Source organism: Homo sapiens, chromosome 11, assembly GCF_000001405.40.
Source record: "Homo sapiens chromosome 11, GRCh38.p14 Primary Assembly".
Lineage (NCBI taxonomy): Eukaryota > Metazoa > Chordata > Mammalia > Primates > Hominidae > Homo > Homo sapiens.
Window position 1 is genome coordinate 44013773 of NC_000011.10, and position 24044 is coordinate 44037816.

General features: G+C 43.8%; 1 protein-coding gene across 1 annotated transcript in view, besides 1 other annotated feature; it reads left to right on the plus strand.

Annotated features, from left to right (window-relative positions):
- The window catches only part of ACCSL (1-aminocyclopropane-1-carboxylate synthase homolog (inactive) like), a 138910-nt gene that overhangs the window by 92705 nt on the left and 22161 nt on the right, over positions 1–24044 (plus strand). The gene's annotated exons all lie outside the window — the stretch shown is intronic.
- Positions 503–1002: an enhancer, noted in NCBI's record as "H3K27ac hESC enhancer chr11:44035825-44036324 (GRCh37/hg19 assembly coordinates)". NCBI's record gives its function as "activates a minimal SCP1, AML or CMV promoter by ChIP-STARR-seq in naive and primed H9 embryonic stem cells {active_cell/tissue: H9 hESC(naive and primed)}" and the evidence as "EXISTENCE:reporter gene assay evidence [ECO:0000049][PMID:30033119]".

The window sequence follows — 24044 nt, forward strand, 5'->3', positions numbered from 1 at the left end:
AGGACTGCTTGGTCACCCTTGATTGCAGCAAGACTTGAATGTAAAAAGTAAAAAGTAGCATTTGGGGCTGTGCGGACAGAGGCTTCGGGGTTGGTAACAGACAGATGGGTTTTCACAGCCTGCAGAGGCGCCCTCCTGCCCCAGAAACCACCTGGGCTCTGAACTCATTTCTGTTGGTCTTCATCTCAAACTTGAGAAGAAGGCCTCATTGCCACCAATCGTGATGCTGAGGAAACTGAGGCCCAAAGCAGCACAGCGCCTTCCTGAAGGGGAAACAGCAGATAAGGGTTCTTTTTGTTTGGCCCCCAGGAGTGCTGCCAGCAGTGGGGTTGGGGGCAGGTGCCAGTTATATACCGCTGTGAAACATATATCCCCACACCGCATCTTACATCTTAAGACCACAAATGCTTACTTCACTTACTGCCTCACAGTTTCTGAAGGCCAGGGTTTCAAGAGTGGCTGAGCTGCTGATCCTGGCTCAGGGCTTCACAGGAGGCCCCTTGAGGTCCAGCTGCGGGCAGGGGCTGCTGTCATCTGAAAACTGGACTGGGCTTCCAGGCTCACTCTGTGGCCCTTGGCAGGCGGCGATGCCTCATCGGCTGTCAGCCAGAGACCTCAGTCCCTGCCATGTGGGCCATAGGCTGCCTGAGGGTCATCATGACATCGCAGCTGGCTTCCCCGAGAGCAATGAGCTGGCAGAGAGAGATAGCCAGAGAGAGAGAGAGAGAGAGAGAGAGAGAGAGAGAGAGAGAGAGAGGTGCCACTGTCTTTTATCACCTAATCTCAGAAGGGACATACCACCACTTCCACCATATTCTATTGGTCACACTGACCAACCTGGCACAGTGTGGGAGGGGCCTGCACAAGGGTATCACTACCAGGAGAGGGGATCGTAGGGTCCATCTTGGAGGATGGTGACCCTAGGGCAGCCCCTGGCAGGGCCTTACTCTGAAAGTCTGGACTCTACATTTGAGTGACCCTAGGAGTAGGAGGGGAGAAGGACCCACCAGATTGAGTCCTGCAGTACAGCAGAGGCACCGTGGAGAGACACCTGGTGAGAGAAAAAGGTATGGGCCTGGGCCTCTAAAGCGCTCTCCGAGCCTGGGCTCCTGCTCCAATCCCAAGAATCACAGACATCTCGTGGGCCTCAGCATCCTCAACCCAGGGCCAGTGGCGGCCTGACTGCCTTCCCCCTCCCCTCCTCCCGGGGATGTGATGATACACATGCAGGGGCACCCAGGAGCCAATGGCACTGTCAATCAGCTGCCATAATCACAGGCATGCACAAACTGCTCTGGGCAAATAATCTCACCAAGTTGGTGATGGAGTAGGTGCTCCATAAACACTCAGTGGCCAGCTAATGGCTTTTTTTCTGAGCACACGTGTTGAATGCTGACTACATACCAAGTCCTTTGGCAGGCATGATTCATGCATTATATCACTGCTTTCCACCCAAATACACTATAAGGTTGCAATACACCAGACAATAAATCTACTAATAAGATTAGCCCCATTTTAAGGATGGGAAACTGAGGCTGGGAGGGTTAAGCACGTTGCTCAAATCCTTACAGGACTTACACTCAGATTGGCCTGGCTGCAAAGCCTCTGCTCTTGCCTCTGACATTGCATTGCCTCCCACCCACTCTCCTCCAGTGGGAGACAGGGCCGTCTACCAGAGAGAAGAAATAGGAGCTTAGCATCGTGTAGGCATCATATAGACCTCTGAGTCCTTCCTGCTTCACTAAAGAGGCAGACAAGACGCCGGCCCAAGACAAGAAGCAACTTTACTCCTTGAGTGGGGAGCAGAACCCACACCAAAGCCTCCTAAGAGCCAGACTAGTGGTGTTTCGCTTCTACCCTAAAGCCCATCCTCAACCCAGCTCATGCAAAAATACTTCTCCAATAAGAATGCGGCTAGGTTTGTCTTAAACATTGGAGCTAATTCCCAGCAGGATGGTGTACTAGAAAGAGCCTGGGCTGCGTCATCAGATAGATCTGCATTCAAATCCTAGTCCTCTGACCTTGGACCAGTATTTAAGCTTTCTGAGCCTCAGTTTTCATATCTGTAAAATGGGGCAATCACACTAATTTCTAATTTAGTTGTGAGGAGTAAGCGAAACATAAGAAATGAAAATGCCTGGCATGTAGTAATAAATTATATTAATTTCTTTGTTTCCTTTAGTCATTTATGATCATATTGCAGAAGCTCCAATTCTTCCTCCAATAAAAATATTCTTCTTTGGGTTGAAAAAGGGACCCTTACTCTAGCCTGCTATTTTTTTCTCCTATGTGGCCCTAGCATCCCTAAACACTTCTTCCAACCAATGAAGACCTCCAAGCATTGATAGGGGCTTTCTTTTTTGTGCCTTGATAAAGCCAGGCCTGGAGCCCCCAGGAACATGAGACTTTGGTACCGGTGGCTCAATTTTAGCCAACTGCTACTCTGGTGGGCCAGTCAGGGACACAGATCCTGCAGCATTTCTGGAGTGGAAAAACCCCAGGTTGCCGGGTGGTGGCTGCTGCAGTATTGCTGGCCGGCTTAGTCACAGTGGGCAGGCCTGGGAGGTGGTTGGATTCCAGCAACGGAGGTCCCTTGGGAAGCATCTGCTTCTGTCCTAGCTGAGCTGGGGGAGGGGGAATGGGCGAGCAGATATTCTGGAGATGCTCAGCTAGACTACAACAGGATTGGAAAGGGTCCTAAATCCTCCCTGAGCTGCTCTGACCTGAGGTTTTTTTGGGGAAACAAGGCCCCTGTATCTTGATCACTCAAAAATAGGTGGTTTAATAGAACCAGAAAAAGATAGTATCTGTTCAGGTTGGGGGTCCAGCTCTGGGAAAAGGGTGGGTGGTCCTCAGGAATTGAAGGGTGGTTGGACCAAGCCTTGAAAGCCCTTTCCAATACCCCAAATACAGGACTTCATGATAGGGGACTTGCCAAGAAATCCAGCAGACAAGTATGTGGACTCCATAGGCAAAGCTGCTATGGCATTTCTTTGGGAGAAGCAGCCGAGTACCCAGGCCTGCGGTAGTTAACAGAAAGACCACTGGACATGGTGTCAGAGGTCCCACTGACCTTGGGATTTTGGGTAAACAACTTCCCTCTCAGAGCCTTAGTTTCTCTACTTATAAAATAGATCTCTTATAGAGACCCCTCCAGCACTGAGAATCTCTGATTCATTTCTGGAGTTTTTGCCTCATGTTTCATAATCTGAAGATCTGCCAATGAGCAAGTATTTATAGAGCCCTGTCAGGTGAGGTGGGAGAAACAAGTCACTTTGAAACCAGCCTCTGCCCTCCTAGAGCTCATCAAGGACATTCAGATACACACAGGCACACATATGGAAGCAGCCACCCAATACCCAATGGAAAGGACTTGTCTATGGGGGTCCAGAGGAAGGGACAGCAAGGTGGCCTGGGCTGTTCCAGGATGGCTTCCAGGAGGAGGTAGAATTTGAGCCAGGCCTTGCAAGATGAGCAGAGTTCACTAGGTTAGAAGAAGGGAGCAGGATGTCCCATGCAAGGCCTGGTGAAAAGTCAGGGCTCACACATACAGCTGTGTAGGTTGTGCACTGCACAACTCCAGGGGCACCAGGGGCATTCACATTGTGATCTCTGTGACTATACTCCCTGTGTACAACCTGCAAGGCCTTATGCAAAAGCCCTGAAAAAAGTGCTGGCATAGAGGAATGATGTCTGCCAGGTCTGCAGGAACAGGCAAGAGTAGCCCCTGGGTGGCCCATTTGTCCACCTGGCCTATGGGGGTTAGTGTTCTCCCAGGCTTGGGGGCAATCAGCTCTGTTCATTTCCTGAATGGCTCAAGTGTTCATGAGAAGAGTGCAGCCAGACATCAGGTTCAGATGTTTCCTCCAGTGCTTTCTGGGATCCTGGGCAACTGACATAACCTCTCTATGCCTCGGTTTACTCCTTGAAAGTGGGCATCATAAGAGCTCCTGCTGTACAGGGTTTTGGAGGACATTCAGGTGGATCATACATGTAAAGTAATTGTGTAACCCTGGGCTTGATCATTGATCCATGTTATGATGACTGACCCTGGGAGAGAGAGAGAGAGAGAAAGGCTGGGTGGAGTGGTTCCTGGAAGCTACTGGGCACTGGGAAGAGAGGGGTGGAAGTAAGCAGCTTGTCATTGGGCTGGAGATGAGCCATTGCCAAGCAGTAATGATTTTTCCATAAATCATAAATTTGGATGGCTCCCAGGAAACCAGCAGCGTCTCCTGGGAGAACTGTTTTAGGAAAAATGCTTTGTGAAGTACACAGGAGCCAGGGATCCAGGGGACTGGAGTTCTTTTCCTCACCCATCAGGGACCTTGAGCCACTCCCTGTATTTGGGCGTCTGTCTGTCCCCCAGCCCCAGTGGGGGAAGGAACTTCACAGTGGATAGACCCCTTGGCCACCTGGGCAGTACTTAAGGAGACCAAAGATGCAGATATCTGAGAGAGGGTGAGCTTCCCAGGGAGCATCACAACTCCAGGCAGACGACTCAGCCAGACTGAGATGTGAACTCACAGCAGGGAGGTCTATGCCAGCCGGTCTCGACCTCTGCCTGCTCTCACCAGCTGTGCAGACACAGAACTGATAGCAGGAGCCCCAACTCGCCCCAGCCCCACTCAGGCTTACCCTCCTGACCCATGAGTCTACAGGCAATATAGTTGGTGCTCAGTCAGGGCAGAAGTTTCTCCTGCAGACTTGGACACAGCCCAGGCTCAACTTCCTCTTCCCTTCACCTGGGCAGCCAGAGATTGAGAGACCTTGGCCTTGTGCCTGGTGGAGGGCAACAGCACCCTTGACCTTTCAGGGTCCATTCTAGATGGGTTTCTAGACTTGGGTCCAGGATGATAATAGTAATAATTACTCATTTTTAAAATAAAGTAGCTTTACTGAGATATAATTCACATATAAAATTCACCTTTTTCATGCCTGTAATCTCAGCACATTGGGAGGCCAAGGTAGGAGAATCACTTGAGGCTAGGAGTTTGAGACCAGCCTGGACAGCATACTAAGACCCCATTTCTTAAAAATAAAAGGAAATAAAACGAAAATTAAAAATTCACCCCTTAAAATATACAATTCAGCATTTTAAGGTATATTCACAAAATTGTGCAATTATCTAATTCCAAAACATTCTCATCACTCCAAAAAGAAATTTGATACCCATTAATTCTCCATTCCCCTCTCTGTTTCCAGCCCTTGGCAACCACTAATTCATTTTCTGTCTGTATGAATTTGACTCTTCTAGGCATATCATATGAATGAAGTAATACAATGTGTGGTCTTTTGTGGCTGGTTTTTCTCACTTAATGTATGTTTTCAAGGTTCATCCATGTTGGTGCATGAATCAGTACTCATTTTCCATTGTATGGATATATCACACTTTGTTTAATCATCCATCAGTCGATGGACTAAGTTGTTTCCACGTTGGGGCTATTATGAATAATATTGTTATGAACATATGTGTACAAGTGTTTGCCTGCACATATGTTTCAAATTCTGTTGCGTATATACCTAGCAGTGGAATTGTTGGGTCATATAGTAACTCTGTGTTTAACTTTTTAGAAGAACTGCCTGTTTTCCAAAGTGGCTGCATCATTTTACAATCCAACCAGCAGCGTATGAAGGTTCTGATTTTTCCACATCCTTGCCAACACTTGTTACTGTCTGTCATTTTTATTCTAGCCATCCTAGTGAGTATAAAGTAGTATCTAATTGTGGTTTTTGAGAACATTTTTCATGGGCTTGTTGGCACATTTGTATATATTATTTGGAAAAATCTCTATTCCAATCATTTGCCCATTTAAAAATTAGGTTATTTGTCTTGTTATTACTGAACTGTAAGATTTCTTTATATGTTCTAAATACTAGACCTTTATCAGATATATGATTTGCAAATCTTTTCTCCCTTTTGAAAGTTATCTTTTTACTTTCTTGATAGTGTCCCTTGAAGCACAGAAGTTTCTAGTGTTGATGAAGTTCAATTTAAATATATTTTTCTTTTGTAAATTGTACTTTCAGTGCCATATCTAAGAAACCATTACCTAATCCAAGCTCACGAAAATCTACTTCTATGTTTTTCTCTAAGAGCTTTATTGGTTTAACTCTTACATTTAGACCTCTGATCCATCTGGAGTTAATTTTTGCACATGGTATAAGGTAGGGGTCTAATTCCATCCTTTTGCATGTGGATATCCACTTGTCTCAGCATTATTTGTTGGAAAAAACTATTTTTGCCCCCACTGAATTATCTTGGCACCCTTGTTGAAAATCAATTGACCATAAATGTAAAGGTTTACAGCTGGACTTTCAATTTTATTCCACTGATCTGTATTTCTACCCTTATTCTAGTACCATATGGTCTTGATTACTGTTGCTTTGTAGTACATTTTGATCTTGTATCCTGCAACTTGTTGCATGTTTATTAGCTCGTATAGTTTGTGTATTTGTAGCTTCCTTAGGCTTTTCTATATATAAGATCATATCATCTACAAATAGAGATAGTTTTACTCCTTTTTTTTCCACAGCCTGGATGCCTTTTATTTCTTTTTCTTACTTGTCTTGACTAGACTATCCAGTACAATGTTGAATAGAAATGGTGAGAGCAGACATCCTTCTATTGTTCTTGATATTACAAGGAGAATTTTAAGTCTTTCACCATTAAGAATGATAAATGTGGATTTTTCATAGATGTCCTTTATTAGATTGAGGAAATCTATTCCTAGTGTCTTTGTGTGTTTTTATCATGAAAGAGTGTTGGATTCTGTCAAATGTTTTTCCCGTGCCTATGAAGATAATCACATGGTTTTTGTCCTTTATCCTATTAATATGGTACATTATATTGATTTTTTTTCTTTTTTAATTTCAATAGTTTTTGGGGGAACAGGTGGTATCTAGTTACATGGATAAGTTCTTTAGTGGTGATTTCTGAGATTTTGGTGCACCCATCACCCTAGCAGTGTACACTTTACCCATGCATAGTCTTTTATTCCTCACCCCCCTCCCACCATTTCCCCTGACTCCCCAAAGTCCATTGTATCATTCTTATGCCTTCATGTCCTCATAGCTTAGCTCCCACTTACAAATGAGAACATATAATGTTTGGTTTCTCATTCCTAAGTTACTTCACTTAGAATGATGGTTTCCAACTACATCTGGGTTGCTGCAAATGCCATTATTTCATTCCTTTTTATGGCTGAGTAGTATTCCATGGTGTGTGTATATGTATCACATTTTCTTTATCTAGTTGTTGGTTGATGGGCATTTAGGCTGGTTCCGTATTTTACGATTGTGAATTGTGCTGCTATAAACATGTGTGTGCAAGTGTCTTTTTCATATAATGACTTCTTTTCCTCCAGTAGTGGGATTGATGGATCAAATGGTAGCTCTAGTTTTAGTTCTTTAAGGAATCTCCATACTGTTTCCCATAGTGGTTGTACTAGCTTACATTCCCACCAGCAGTGTAATAGTGTTCCCTTTTCACCACATCCATGCCAACATCTATTATGTTTTGATTTTTTATTTATGGCCATTCTTGCAGGAGTTAGGCGGTATTGCATTGTGGTTTTGATTTGTATTTCCATGATAATTAGTGATGTTGAGCATTTTTCATGTTTGTTGGCCATTTGTATATCTTCTTTTGAGAATTGTCTATTCATGTCCTTTGTCCACTTTTTGATGGGATTATTTGTTCTTTTTCTTGCTGATTTGTTTGAGTTCCTTGTAGCTTCTGTATATTAGTTCCTTGTTGGATGTATAGTTTGCAAAAATTTTCTCCCCCTCTGTGGATTTCTGTTTACTCTGCTGATTATTTCTTTTGCTGTGTAGAAGCTTTTTAGTTTAATTAAGTCTCATCTATTTATCTTTGTTTTTGTTGCATTTACTTTTGGGTTCTTGGTCATGAACTCTTTGCCTAAGTCAGTGTCTAGAAGAGTTTTTCCAATGCTACCTTCTAGAATTTTTATGGTTTCAGGTCTTAGATTTAAGTCTTTGATCCACCTTGAGTTGATTTTTTTATAAGGTGACAGATGAGGATCCAGTTTCATTTGTCTACATGTGGCTTGCTGATGATCCCAGGACCATTTGTTGAATAGGGTGTCCCTTCCTCACCTTATGTTTTTGTTTGCTTTGTTGAAGATAATTTGCTGTAAGTATTTGGCTTTATTTCTGGGTTCTCTCTTCTGTTCCATTGGTTTATGTGCCTATTTTTATACCAGTACCATGCTGTGTTGGTGACTATAGCTTTATAGTATAGTTTGAAGTCAGGTAATGTGATGCCTTCAGATTTTTTTTTTTGCTTAGTTTTGCTGTAGCTATGAGGGCTCTTTTTTGGTTTCATATGAAGTTTAGGGTTGTTTTTTCTAGTTCTGTGAAGAATGATGGTGGTATTTTGATGGGAATTGCATTGAATTTGTAGACTGCTTTTGGCAGTATGGTCATTTTCACAATATTGATTCTACCCATCTGTGATCATGGAATGTGTTTCCATTTGTTTGTGTCATCTATGATTTCTTTCAGCAGTGTTTTGTAGTTTTCCTTGTGGTGGTCTTTTACCTCCTTGGTTACATATATTCATATGTATTTTATTTTTTTGCAGCTATGTAAAACAGGTTGAGTTCTTGATTTGATTCTCTGCTTGATTGCTGTTGGTATATAGCAGTGCTACCGATTTGTGTACATTGATTTTGTATCTTGAAACTTTACGGAATTCATTTATCAGATCTATGATCTTTTTGGATGAGTCTTTAGGGTTTTCTAGGCATACGATCATATCATTGGTGAATAGAGGCAGTTTGATTTCCTCTTTACTCATTTGAGTGCACTTTATTTCCTTTTCTTGTCTGATTGCTCTGGCTTACATTGATTGATTTTTGGATGTTAACACAATCTTGCGCTCCTGGAATAAATCCCACTTGGTTGTGGTGTTTTATCCTATTTTTATTTGTTGCTTCATTAAGTTTGCAAGTATTTTGTTGAGGATTTTTGTGTCTATATTCATACGAGGTATTGGTCTGTAGTTTTCTTGTGATCGCTTTGTCTGGCTATGATATCAGGGTAATTCAAGCCTTATGAAATGAGTTGAAAAGTGTTCCCTCCTTTTCTGTTTTTGGAAGAGTTTGTGTTGATTCTTCTTTAAATGTTTAGTAGAATTCACCAGTGAAGAATTTTGGGCCTATGCTTTTCTTTATGGGAAGTTTTCTGGTTACTAATTCAATCTCTTTATTTATTATAGGTCCATTCAGATTTTCTATTTCTTCTTCTTCTTTTTTTTTTTTTTTTTTTTTCGAGAAAGAGTCTCACTCTCGTTGGCCAGGCTGGAGTGCAGTGGCACCATCATGGCTCACTGCAGCTCACTGCAGACTTTCTGGGCTCAGGTGATCCTCCCACCTCAGCCTCCCAAGTAGCTGGGACTACAGGTGCACACCACCATGCTCAGCTACTTTTTTATACTTTTAGTAGAGGCAGAGTTTTGCCATGTTGCCTAGGCTTGTCTTGAACTCCCGGGCTCAAGCAATCCACCTGCCTCAGCCTCCTAAAGTGTTGCGATTATAGGCATGAGCCACCACACCCGACCTAGATCTTCTATTTCTTCTTGATTTAATTTGAGTAGTTTGTGTCTTTCTAGAAATTTTTCCATTTAAGTTATCTAATCTTTTGGCGTATGTGGTTTCTGGTATTCGCTTATGATCCTTTTTATTTCTGTATGATTGGTACTCATGTCCTCCTCTTTCATTTCTGATTTTTGTAACTCGAATTTTTTCTTTCTTTTTTCTTGGTCAGTCTAGCTAAAGGTTTGTCAATTCATTATCTTTTCAAAGAACCAACTTTTAGTTTTGTTGATTTTATCTGTTTTTTTTTTTCTATTCTCTATTTCTGCTGCAGTTTTTATTATTTCCTTCCTCTGGCTTGCTGTGGATGAAGTTTGGTTTTAATTTTCTAATTTCTGAAGGTGGAAAGTTAGGTTATTTATTTGAGAGCTTTCTTTTTTAAAAATATAAATGTTTATAGTTATAAATTTTCCTCTAAGTACTAATTTAGTGGTCTCTCATAAGTTTGGTATGTTGTGTTTTCACTTTTATTAATCTCAGATCATTTCTACTTTCCCCTGTAATTTATTATTTAATCCAGTGGTTATTGAAGAGTGTGTTGTTTAATTTCCACATATGTGTGGATTTCCTGAATTTTCTGTTGTTATTGTGATGGTTAACTCTGTGTGTCAATTTGACTGGGGCAATGGGTATACAGATTATACATTATTTCTCAGTGTGTCCGTGAGGGTGTCTCTGGATGAGATTAGCATTTGAATCAGTGGACTCAATAAAGTAGATTGTGCTCCCTAGTGTAGGTGGGCATCATCAGTCTACTGATGGTCTGAATAGAACAAAAAGCAGAGGAAGGAGGGATTCACTTTTTTGCTTCCTGCTTGTTTACTTGAGCTGGCACATCAGTTTCTCCTGCTCTTGGACTGGGATATACATCACTGGCTCCCTTGTTTTCCAGGCCTTTGGACTCAATCTGGAACTATACCTCCAGCTTTCCTGGGTCTCCAGCTTGCAGATGGCAGATTATGGGACTTCTCAGCCTCCATAATTGCATAAGCCAGCTCCTCATAATAAATCTTCTCCCATGTATATCTCTCTCTCTCTTTCTCTCTCTCTCTCTCTGTGTGTGTGTGTGTGTGTGTGTGTGTGTGTGTGTGTGTGTGTATACATCCTATTGCTTCTGTTTCTCTGGACAACCCTAACTAATACATTGATTTCCAATTTCATTCAATTGTGGTCAGAAAAAAATACTTTTAAATTTATTGAGACTTGTTTTATGGGCTGGCATATGGTCTATCCTGGAGAATGTTCCATGTGCACTTGAGAAGAATGTGTATTCTGCTGTTGTTGGATAGAGAGTTCTATAGATGTTCATTAGATCTAGTTGGTTTATATGTTGTCTAAATGTTCTATTCCATTGCTGGTGATCTGCCTGGTTGTTATATTCATTATTGAAAGTGAGGTATTAAAGTTTCTGTTATTATTGAATTGTCTATTTCTCCCTTCATTTCTGTTATTTTTTGCTTCATGTATTTTGGGGCTGTTTGTTGGGTGCATAGATGCATAGAATTGTTATGTTTTTATGATATATTTATCATTTTATTATTTAAAAATGCCCTTCTTTGTTTCCAATGATGATTTTGTCTTAAAGTCTATTTTGTCTTACATTTGCATATAGCAATTCCAGCTCTCTTTTAGGCACATTTGCATAGTAAATATTCTATTCTTTTACTTTCAATCTGTTTATGTGTTTGATTCTAAAGTGTATTTCTTATAAACATCATATAATTGGATGATATGTCTTATCCTTTTGCTTGGAGTATTTAATCCATTTACATTATTGTAATTACCGTTTAGGTAGGGTTTACACTTGCCATTTTGTTATTTGTTTTCTAAATGTCCTATGTCTTTTTCTCTATGTATTCTATCATTGCTGCCCTATTTGTATTAAATGGATATTTTTAAATATATAATTTTAACTTGCTTCTTGTTTCACTTTTTTTAAAAAATTACTTTCTTAGTGGTTGCCCTGGGAATTACAATTAATACCTTAACTTAAAACAATCTAGTTTGTACTAGTATCAACTTAATTTCAATAGTATACTATACAAAAACTTTATTTTAACATAACTTTGTTCATTGCTGTCCCTCTCCTTTCTACTATTGTTGGCATACAACTTACATCCTTATGCATGATAAGACTGTAACAGTTTTGTAATTATTGAATTATACCATTATCTTTTAAATCAGATAGTAAAATAAGAGTTATAAACAAAAACATATCTTTGAACTGTTTTTCATATTTTCCTATGTGATTACTTATACTCTATATTTATTCATGTGGATTTGAGTTCCTGGCTAGCTCATACAGCCTAAATGACTCCTTTAGTATTTCTTATAGGATTGGTCTGCTAGTGATAAATTCTCTCAGTTACAAAAAAAATCTAGGAATGTCTTAATTTCTTCTTCATTTCTGAAAGATAGTTTTGCTGGATATACAATTCATGTTCAAAGTCTTTTTCTTTCAGCACTTTGAATATGTTATCCCCATGCCTTCTGCTTTCCATAGTTTCTGATGAAAAGTCAACTGCTGATCTTATTAAGAGGCTCTTGTACATGAGTAACTTTGCTCTTGTTGTGTTCAAGACTTTTTCTTTGTCTTTTAACCATTTGACTAGGGTGTGTCAAGGTGTGCAACCCTTTGAATTTATCCTAAGTGGAACTTGTTGAGCTTCTTGGGTGTGCAGATTAATATTTTCATCAAATTTGTGCAGTTTTCAGCCATTATTTCTTCAAATATTCTTTCTACCTCCTTGTCTGTCCTCTTGGACACCCATTATGCATATACTGGTATACTTAATGGTTTGTCACAGGTCTCTGTTTGGTTTTCTTTATTCTTTTTTCTTTCTGCTAAACAGACTGGACAATCTCAATTGATCTATCTTCAAGTTTTCTGATTCTTTATTTTATCTGTTCAATTCTACTGTTGAGCCCCTCTAATACACTGTTCAGTTCAGCTATTGTGCTTTTAACTTAGAATTCCTATTTGCTTCCTTAAAAAAAAGGTCTACCTCTTTATTGATATTCTCTATTTGGTGAGACATTGTTCTCATTACTTTCTTTTAATTCTTTATGCTTGACTTCTTTTAGTTATTTGACTATATTTATCATAGCTGATTTAAAGTCTTTAGTAAATCCAACATCTGGGCATTCTGAGGGATAGTTTTAATTGAATGCTTTTTGTTCTTATGTATAGGCCATACTTTCCTGTTTCTTAGTGTGTCCTGTAATTTTTAAATTGAAATATGGACATCTAAAATAACATAATGTGGCAACTCTGAAAATCAGATTCTGTCCCTTCACTAGGGTTTGTTATTGTCATTGTTTGTTTATTTAGTGACTTATCTAGACTAATTTTTTTTTTTTGAGATGGAGTTTCACTCTTGTTGCCCAAGCTGGAGTGCAATGGTATGATCTCAACTCACTGCAACCTCCGCCTCCTGGGTTCAAGCCATTCTCCCGCCTCAGCCTCCCGAGTAGTTGGAATTACAGGCATGTGCTACTACGCCTGGCTAATTTTGTATTTTTAGTAGAGACGGGTTTCTCCATGTTGGTCAGGCTGGTCTCGAATTCCCAACCTCAAGTGATCCACCCGCCTTGGCCTCCCAAAGTGCTGGGATTACAGGCGTGAGCCACCGCACCCAGCCGACTAATTCTTTAAAGTCTATATTCTTTATCATGCGTGATCCCTGAAGTCTGCTTGTTAGCTTACTGGTCTTTTAATGATTGGACAGAGATTTCCTTAAACGCCTAGATACAATAAGTTTCTCAGCCTTTGCCAAGAGGTATTTTGTGTTCATTGGGGCATGTCTTTAATGCTCTGGCAGACAGTCTACAACTCTGCCTTAGCCTTTACTTCCTTGGGCAGAGGCTCAAGGTCAGCCAGAGGAGAGAGATGTGGGCCTTCTTAGATCTTTCATGGGTATGTGCATGCCTCTGAACATGCATGTGGACTTCTAGATTCCCAGAAATAAATTGGAGCTTTTCATAGCCGCCTATAGAATCTTCCAGTTCTGCTTTTGCTTTTTAAATCTTGGAGCCTCAGCTTTCTTATATGTAAAGTAAATGTTCCAATAAAGGACCAGCTGAGTTCCTATGAAAATTAGGTAGAGAGCTTTATAGTGAAACCTAGCATTTTGCCTGGCACAGAGTAAGTGCTCATCAAATGTTAATTCCTTTCCCCTCCTTCTTCTTTCCCCTTTTTCAGCCCCACTGAGGGTTAAAGATTGGTGAAGGTTAAAGGAGGTGAAGAAATGTTCCCAAGGGCATACAACTGGTTAAATGGTGAAGTCCTTTTCTGATTTCTAAGCCCATGCCTCTCCACCATACCAGTGTTTCCCAATAATGAGATAATTTAAGGTAATATATAGATCATCATTCAACAACTTTGCCTGCATGTTTGTGTGTATGCATAATTTGTACACCAAACCCATGACTTTGTGCTTAGGACAAGGCATATATATAATAGATATTTAAGCTTAAAAAGTGAGTCAATCGATCTAAGCTGGGTGTGGCGGCTCATGCCTGTAATCCCAGCACTTTGGGAGGCCAAAGCAGGAGGATTACTTGAGGCCAGGAGTGTGAGACCAGTCTGCACAACAGAGTGAAACTCTATCTCTACAAGTCTTCTCAAAAAAATTATCTGGGCATGGTAGCATGCACCTATAGTCTTAGCTACTTAGGAGGCTAAAGGGAAGATTGCCTGAGCCTAGGATTTTGAGGCTGCAGTAAGCTATGATCATGCCACCGTACTCCTGCTTGGGTGACAGAGTGAGACCCTATCTCTTAAAAAAAATTGAGTCCATCTAAAATCAGTTATTAAGATAAGTAAGATATGGTGCAGGTGGTATGTTGTCAGGGCAAAAGCTGAGAGTAGTGGAAGTTGGCATGGCACCACATTCTACCCACAAGCCCTCAATTCTGACATTGGGAGTTAGAGTTGGAGTGGGCAGGAAAGGTTATTTGTACCAGCACTGTCCAGTAGAATTTTCTCTGATAATGGAAATGTTTTACTATCTGTGCTGTGCTGTATGGTGGCCACCAGCCACATTTAGCACTTGAAATGTGGCTAATATGATTAAAGAATTAATTTTTACATTTTGAATTTAAACAGCTACATGTGACTAGTAGCTGCTGTGTTGGGACAGCTCAGCCATAAACCAAATTTATTACAGCTGCTCCATGGGTCTGCCAGCATCCTCTAGTCATCCCTGCGTCACCTTCATTGAGCAGAGTGTGTGGCACAGGGAGCCCTTACCCAGGGGTCAGCAGACAAAGCTTCTGCACCCAAATCCTGGATTGTGTGATAGAGCAGCCTTGCCCAAGGGACTTAGCCTTGTTTCATCAGTCTTGTCTGTGCCTCAGTCTCCTTGTCTGTAAAATAAGGGTAATAAGAGTAATAATGACTTCTCCACATATGTCATAGGCTTGTGATGAGGGTCATGTGGAATCATACAGGAGGAATGTTTTGTAAGCCACAAAGTAGTAGAAAAATGAGTTAGCTTAAACAATAAGTTTGGAATAAGTTTGGAATGGATGTGTCCTTTAGAACAGGTGTGTTCAGGCTGGGCTGGGGTGTGGTGATCCTGTAGGCTTGACCTCCACCCAGAATCCAACCACTTCTCACTCCCGGGCAGTGATCATGCTGAGCACACTGTCACCACCTTGCCCTGGGGCTATTATGATGTCCTCCTATCTGGCCCCGCCATTGTGCCTCTGCAACAGCATCTTTTCCACACTGTAATCAGAGGGATCCTTCTATGTGCTAAATTAGATCTAGTCTTCTTCAAAACCCTACAAAGGCTTCTGGCCTCTCTAGGAGAAAGCCAAGATCCTTCCAGAGGCCTGCAGGTCCCTCCTGTTCTGTCTCTGACCTCATCTCTGAGTACTCCCCTCCAGCCATCCAGCTTCTTGCTGTTCCTTCAACATGAGAAGCCTCAGGGCCTTTGCCCTTGCTGTTGCCCCTGACTAGACTGTTCTGGATATTCTCATGGCTCACCCTTTGCTGCCTTCAGGTAACCTTTGCTCAAATGCTACCTTATCAGAGAGGCTTTCTCTGTATACCGTTGGATACCTATGCACCTGCAACAGTGCCTGGTGCAGAGTAGGTGCTCAGTCATTATTGCTGAATGAATGAAGTCCTGGTCAGAATGAATCACTGGCAGCTCATGCAGTGAGGTGGTGCTGGATTGGGAGTTGGCACACTTGCTGGGTGACTTGGACAAGCTACTCACCCTTTCTGGACTTCAGCTGCCCCATCTGCATGTTGAGGCCTAAACAAGGGAGTATGAATAATCTGGAAGATACCTTCTAATTTCAAAGAGTCCATAACCCCAAGTTCCATAGAGCCCCCGATTCTGCTTACATCCTTGCCTGATTGCTTGGTGAGTTGGCCCTCCAGAGGAGCAGTGTGATCTTGGATTGGCTAAGGGATCACTTAGGATAAAGAAGAATGGAATCTAAGCAGGGGTCCCTGGGACAGAACTGAAAGGGCAAGGGGATAACTTTTGTATAACATGAGGTTCTTGGAAGTGACTCCATTGACTTGGGTTCATGTCAAACAGTCAAACCAGGGTCCCCTGGGCCTTGTTTTTATTTTATTTTATTTTATTTTATTTTATTTTATTTTATTTTATTTTATTTTATTTTATTTTATGTTTGCTTGTTTCTTTGGTTGATTTTTTTTTTTTTTTTTTTTTTTTTTTAGTATAAAGGGGCTCCCCCTGGTTTTCCTTGCTTAGTGACAGTGGTGACCTGCCTCTCTCTTCCTGGTCTATCAATGTCTACTTGTCTCTCCCTGGGCCCTTTTCTCTCTCCCCAGTAAATCTGAGAACACTAGTAGTGATTCCTCAGGATTCTCTGGCTCAACAAATTTGAGGAGTCTTGACCCATTTCTTTCTCCCCTTCACTACAAAGCCCCTTCTCCCCACCTTTCCCTAAAACCCCAGATTGTAGAGCCCCACTCTCCCTCCTGTTTCTCATGGACACAGACGTCCAGAAGCCTAGGCCCCCTCCCCTCCATCCCTCCCCGCCTATTCTCCAAGCCCCAGAAGGGGCCGCCTGCTGCTTGGCTATTTTTAGCCCAGGAGCTTTTTCAAGGAGAAAGCAGCATGAGTCTCTGAGCCAAGGCACAGGACTGCGTCCCTGTGGAAAACCTCCCCTCATGGGGAAAGAATCCAGGGGATTTTTTTTGGATCCTGGCTTGGAGCCTTCAATTTTTGTGTGTCCCTTGCTAATTTATCTGGTTTTTTGTTGTTGATGTATTGTTTTTTTTATAGAAACGAAGGCAACACCAGATTATGAATCAGACATGGACATCAACTCTTGTGTAATTTGTGATCAGCCTGGAGTTTGGGTTTAAAAAAAAATTCTTATCTTGTTTGTGTCAATAGGATGGAAACAACTCAGTGTAATGGAAAACTGGCTGGTCTGGAGGCTGGGGTGGGAGTCAAGGTCTGACTAACACATCTAACACATGATCACACAAGACTCATTCTCTATGCTTACAATGCTCTTAGGAGGAAGAGACAAGGAGGGTCCTAGTTTTATACACGGGGAAACTGAAACTCAGAGAGGTTAAGCAACATGCCCAAGGCCTCCCAGGAACACACAAAAGGCAGGGATTTACACCCAGGATTTGGAAGGCACCTGACTGTTGTTTCCCTCCATTGGGGTTTAAGTCTCAGCCCTGCCTTGTGTTAGCTGTGTGACCCAAGGCAGCCTGCTTCACCTCTTTGAGACTCATGTCCTCCGTAAAATGGGAATGGTACTACTTGGCTTGTGAATGGTTAGGAGGATTCCATGAGATAATGTGTGTAAAGAGCTCAGGACAGAGAATAAACGTTCGCACGTCATCCTGCCCCCTGCCATCCCTTCCAGCAGAGGCTCCTGGATCACATCAGTTCCTGAAGACCCAGATGTCAGTCCGGCTCCCCCAGGGTATCTGCTGAGGTTCCTGCACCTTGTTTTTCTTGTCTTTGAAGTTTTCCTTTCCTGTGGCCTTAGAACTTCTGAGATCTGGATGGTATTGATTTTTGAAGATGCTCGTTTTTCCTAGGAGGAAAAGTGTCTCGAGGAAAACAAAGGAAAGCATCAAGACAGAGGCTCCATGGGCTTGAATCTTAGCTTTCCCACTGGGTGGGATTAGAAATGCAATATATTTATTGGAGGAAACACCTGCAATGGATGAAAGAGAGGGAGCAGGAGGAGGTGGGAGGGCCTTCAGACTGTGTGACCCAGGGAGAGAAGACAGAAGGATGGGGATTGAGGTAGGAAGAGTCTTGCACTGCCACACACTTCCAAGAAAGGTTGAGTCAGGCTGATGGGGAGTCTTTGAGCCAAAGTAGACTGATGGAGGAATTCACGTCTCCTAGGAAGAGGCTTGTGCTAGTACCTTGGCTGTGCTCATTTATTGGCTGGGGGCAGCCCTGGAGAAGACACAGCCTTAGTGTGGATGGTGGCGGATGCAGGTGGACAGTCGCGGGGGCTGTCAGTCAATTAAACTCCCTCCAGCAGGAGATCCAAGGTGCATGTTTCACGGCCACCACATTCACTTACTCAGGGGCAATCTTGGGAAATTCCCTCAAGCTCTCTGAATCTCAGAGTCAGCATCGGTGAAATGGGACTGATTATCATAGTATCTGGGTCTGAGGGTTTTATTTCAAATTTCTATTGCTGTGTGACAAACTGTCCTCATACTTAGCGGCTTAAGACTACAATAATGTATTATTTCTCACAATTCTGTTGCTGAATGGGACTCAGTTAGGGGTCCTTCTGCTTCACATGGCATTGCCAAGGTTGCTTATGTGGCTGCAATCTAATGGGTGCTTTGCTGGGGCTGGGATATGCAAGATGCCTCACCTTCCAGGGTCTCTCTCTACATGTCCTCTCGTCACTCTGCAGTCTGAGCTGCTCTGCAGCATGGCACTGGCTTCTGGACCACCCACTGCACTTGTCAAGCTCTGCTTGCATGGCTCTTGTTCATGTCTCGCTGACTGAAGCACGTCACATGGCCAAATCCAGAGTCCATGTGCAAGGGCGTGAATACCAGAAGGCATTATTCACTGTGGGTCAGCAATGGTCCAGGCAGCTGCAGGGTGCGGGGAGGAGGATGAAATAACATTGCCAAGTGCTCAGCACAGTGTCTGGGGTGCCTCAATGCGCCCAATAACCTGGGGCTGGGGCATGATGAAATTGCTCTCTGGAAGGCTTGAGGCATTAAATAAGCACTCCTAGCTCTGGGAAAACATAGCAGAGTGGACTGGAGTGGGGAGCGGGCGGATACGTGGGCATTGTCCCCGCTCAAGAATTCCTACGAAGAAGGGAAGTGGTGAAGACCAGCTCTGCAGGTCCAGGTTTGAGGGAGACCTAGGTCAACAGAAGCCCAGTAGGTCAGAATGGGCCTTTCAGAATCAAGGAAAAGCCCTCCTGCCAAGAATTTTCCCAGTGGGAAGGAACTCACAAATGTGGTATGACTGGGAGGAAAAGTCCCACAGAAACTCTCAGCTCATCATCTCTGAGAGGCTCCCCCGAGGGAGACGCGGGTGGAGACTTCTCTACAGAGCTCAAGCCTCCCTGGCGACAGTGGGAGGAGTCGGCAGGAACTCCCTCCAAAATGTTTCTTGTATCAGCCTCAGTCTCAGAAGACTGGTGAGTGCACAGTGGAGTAAGGCTCAACAAAAGTTAATAATGAAAGAATGAAAGTTTAAATGGTCAGGTGGACGAACAGTCGGGTTTGGTGGATGGCAGGATGGAACTTGGAAGGAAGAGGCTCAAATTTATATTTGTTATTTCACATAACCTCTCCAGCCCTCCTCCCTGACCTTCCTTCACAGAGGAGAAACTGAAGCCCAGAGATGCTTAGTAACTCACCCATGGCCACGTAGTTTGCCTGGCCACGTGGTCTGTAAGTGGCTGAGCTGGGACTTGAACTTGCGGCATGAACCCTGGGCTCTTGACAAAAACTCCGTATCAGACCACAACACACCATACCATACCTCTTGAAGAGAAAGGAACTTCTTAGGGAATCCTGGCAAACAGGCCCAGAAAATGAGCAGATGAATTCAGTGCCTGCCAAAGCCAGATAGCAACCCCTTCCCAGCCAGGGAACCAGGCCATTGACACGGCCACCACTGTTGTCTCCAGCCTCCTCACCCCCAGCATGCCCAGGGCTGAGGTCATTTGATCTCCCCCACAGCACCAGAGTTCTTAAAGGGGGCCCCTCGGATTTGAAATGTGGGTGACAGTGGTAGATAGTGTCAATGGAAAATGAAACAAAACCCTTTTCTTTGTGTCCCAAGCAGGATACCAAGTCCTGGGCAGGGGGAGAAATGGGTCACTGGAACAAAATCCTCTTTGACAGCTGAAGCAGGAAGACCTTGTTTGGGGGGAGAGTAAACAGAAAGGGCCCAGAAAAGACTGACTTCACTGAGCCGCAGCTCTGGCAAGGAAAACAGCTTATTCATATTTGAAGAGGTATTGGATGCTGGTGGCATCCTAAGTGCTGGAAGGAAGGGAGACACTGCCATCAAAATACATCTAAGCAAAGTAATGAGATGCAGGAGCCCGAGAAAGAAGACATTGGCAGAAGGGATGGGGGTGGGGGCAGTGGGTGGGAAGGAAAGGAACTGGAGGGAGAGGGGTCAAGCCCAGCCGGGCTTGGGCTGTCATTGTGCAGCCATTTCAGTGGCAGCCCCATTTGGTTTGCCTGGAATATGATTCTCCATCTTTGGGGGCGTCTAATGCAAGCTGTGGTCATTATCATCCCCCTAACACCACATGTACATGTAGATACAATTTAGGGTGGGGGTCCACCCACACCCCATCTGGGACTGTGGGTCTTCATGAGCAGTGTGTAGCCCATAGCTCACCCCAGAGACTGGGTCAGCGAGGCACAGGTGGGACTTGGCATTTGTTTTTGGAAAAAAGCTTCCCAGTGATTTTGACATGGCCCCTGGCTGAGCATATTGCTCTGGGGCTCCAGGAAACCCCGATGAAGACCTTAGCTTTTGAGGAGCAAGGATGCTCTATTAGTCTGTTTTCATGCTGCTGATAAAGACATACCTGAAACTGAGTAATTTATAAAGAAAAAGAGTTTTAATGGACTCACAGTTCCACATGGCCGAGGAGGCCTCACAATCATGGTGGAAGGCAAAAAATATGTCTTACATGGTGGCAAGCAAGAGAGAGAGAGAGAGAGCTTGTACAGGGAAATTCCCCTTTATAAAACCATCAGATCTCATGAGACTTATTCACTATCATGAGAACAGCATGGGAAAGACCCATCCCCATGATTCAATTACCTCCTACCAGGTGCCTCCTATGAAGTGTGGAAATTGTGGGAGCTACAATTCAAGATGAGATTTGGGTGGGGACATACCCAAACCATATCAGGTGCTTCATTCTAGCAATGAGAACAAGTGAATTTTAAGTCAGGGAATGAACCTCACAGAGTCCCAGGCACCCTGAGTGGTTCAGGGGCCTCTAGCCAGCTCCACAAGGCAATGAGTAACTCACACAGTAGCTCTAGAGCACCTGTATTATCTTCCCATCATGCTCATAGTAAAAGCTAAAGTGGCTATCCAGGTTTATGAAATCTTGCAGATCCATTCCTCAACTACAGCAAATACACTCTCTTATCCCAGGGCCTTTGCACTTGGCATTCCCTCTGCCTGGAACATTCTTCCTTCCCCCAGAGATCCATGTAGGTTCCTCCTTTGCTTCCTGTGGGTCTTTGCCCAACTATCCTACCTAAATAGCACCCCCTCTTGCTCTCAATATCCTACCCAACTTGAGTTTTCTTCACAGCACTTACCCAATTACATTATACTTATTTATATATGTTGCTCATTTTCTGTCACCTGCTTTAGGTAAATTGCAAGAGGGTTGTGTCTGTCTCGTTGCCGTCTCTCTTCCCAGCACCTAGAGCAGTGTCTAGCATGTCAGTTGCTCAATAAATACTTGTTGAGTGAATGAATAATGCTAATTCCTTCCTCTCTGTTGTCCAACAGGACACAGATGTCATTTTCAACTGTGGTTAAAAATTCCCTGGAAAGCAGAGAGCTGGTTTTTGGATCTGTTTTCCCATGTAAACAGTAAACAAGTAAACAAAAAGCAGCTACTTGGCATCTACGGTATGCTCAGCCACCATGGGCTTAAGGGAGAAAGAAGCAGAGTAAAGCATTAGTTCCTCTCTTCAAGATCTTCACAGTCTGGGTCTGAGTGCTAAGGCCAGAGAATATCTGGGAGGCATTAGAACCATAAAGAATAGCTGAAGGGGCAGGGCACGGTGGCTCAGGCCTGTAATCTCAGCGCTTTGGGAGGGCGAGGCAGGCGGATCACTTGAGGCCAGGAGTTTGAGACTAGCCTGGCCAACATGGTGAAACCTTGTCTCTACTAAAAATACAAAAATTAGCCAGGCATGGTGCTGCATGCCTGTAGTCCTAGCTACTGAAGTGGCTGAGGCAGGAGAATTGCTTGAACCTGGAAGGTAGAGGTTGCAGTGAGCCGAGATCACGCCATTGCACTCCAGCCTGAGCCATAGAGTGAGACTCTGTGTAAAAAAAAAAAAAAAAAAAAAAAAGAAAGAAAGAAAAGAATAGTTGAAGTTCCGAGGGGGCTGGAGCAGTCAGGGAACTTTTCTGGAGAAGGGGAGAACTTCAGTGCCCTTTGAAAAACAGTCCCTGCAATGTAAGTGGTTTGAGCCAGACTGTTCCCCAGGGGGCAACCAGGTAGCAACCAACTGGGTAACTGGCCTTCGGCCCCCGCTGGAGGAAAGTGGGCAAGAGCCATTAGGACCCCGACATGGTGACCTTCCTCCTCCCCAGGATCCCCATTCCAGGTCACCTCATACAACCTAGAGACCAGGCCAGACCTAAAGGAATTGTTAGGGTCCTGTCACTGTGGCCCAGGAATCTGTGAAGAGAATACTCTGGGCCTGGATTCAGACAGGTCTGCAGTCAGGCCCAAGCAAGTAGCATGAACTTGGACAAGATTGAGGAACCTCGCTGGGCCTCAGTTTTGTTACCTATAAAATGGGGCCAAGGACACGTTCCTCATTGAATTGTTGGGAGGCCCGTTATATGGAACCCAGGGCCCAGTATTACAGATTCCCAGGTTCTATGCCAGGTGCTGTGGTGCACACCTGCAATCCCAGCACTTTAGGAGGCCAAGGTAGGTGGATCACTTGAGGCCAGGAGTTTGAGACCAGCCTGGCCAACATGGCAAAACCCTGTCTCTACAAAAAATACAAAAATTACCCATGTGTGGTGGTGCACACATGTAATCCCAGCTACTTGGGAGGCTGAGGCAGGAGCATCGCTTGAACCCTGGGGGCAAAGGATGCAGTGAGTCAAGATCGCCCCACTGCACTCCAGCCTGGGTGACAGAGCAAGACACCAGCTCAAAAAAAAAAAAAAAAAAAGATTCCCAGGTTCTGGCATGGACGGGCCAGGGTCTTGCCAGGTAGGTTCCTCTACCTCTCTCTGGACCACAGTTTCCTTGATGGGTTGGGGACCTTTTGCAGTCTCTTCCCACTGGCTGCACCTCTGTGCCTTCCAGGCTGCTGTCTCCAAAGTGAGTTTGTATGAGGCCAGTGACCACTTAGAAGCCCAGAGAACTGAAGTCAAGGGAGAAAAGGTTATGCAATCTGGAGGGATGGGGAGAGCTGAGGGCAGCTGGGTCAGTGTCCCTGGAAGAGGAATTCTCCTCCTTTCCCCATCTCCCACTGCCTACCTCCACCTTTCCCCAACCTTGGAACCTACAGGCCTTCTAAATTAGGCCATGCCAGATGTTGTACTTGGAATTTGTTTGCTTTTGGAGCAGAGATGCCAAAGGGGTGGTAGCAGGAACAGTCGTATTTGCCAATTCTGGATTCTAATCCTATCACTAGATTCTGGTTGTGACAGTGACCAAGGTACCCAACCTCTCTGAGCCCTGAGTCCTGTCTGTAAAACAGAAATACTAAGAGATCCCAAGAGCCACCAGCGGTTGCAGTGGGTCAGAAAAGAGATGCAATTGCCTGCTCCCAGCCTTTCTGAGGTCACGCACGCGCGGATGGCGCACTGGCTGCTCCTTGTCTGGCCTCTTCTATACTCCTCTCACCCGCTGCTTCTCTGAGTCTGCAGTGCTGGCTGGCCTGAGTTTTCTGCACTAGGCAAGAAAATAAGGGTTTAGCGACCCCTCTTGGCAAATCCGTGTTACAGCTGCTGTAGTCAGGGTGCCCGCAGCAGAGAGGCTCCCAGGCTGTGGAAGGTGAAGTTTTTCCACTGGGTAAATCTTCACTCTACTGTCAACATTCACAAGGTGCCTGCAACTGATTGATTTCTTCATTCTTGTCTTCAGTCATTGAAAGATTAGTTAGAAATGAATATTCAACAAATATTAACTAAAAACTCCCTGTGTGCCTTGGAACTATGGTAGAACGTGAATAGTGTACAG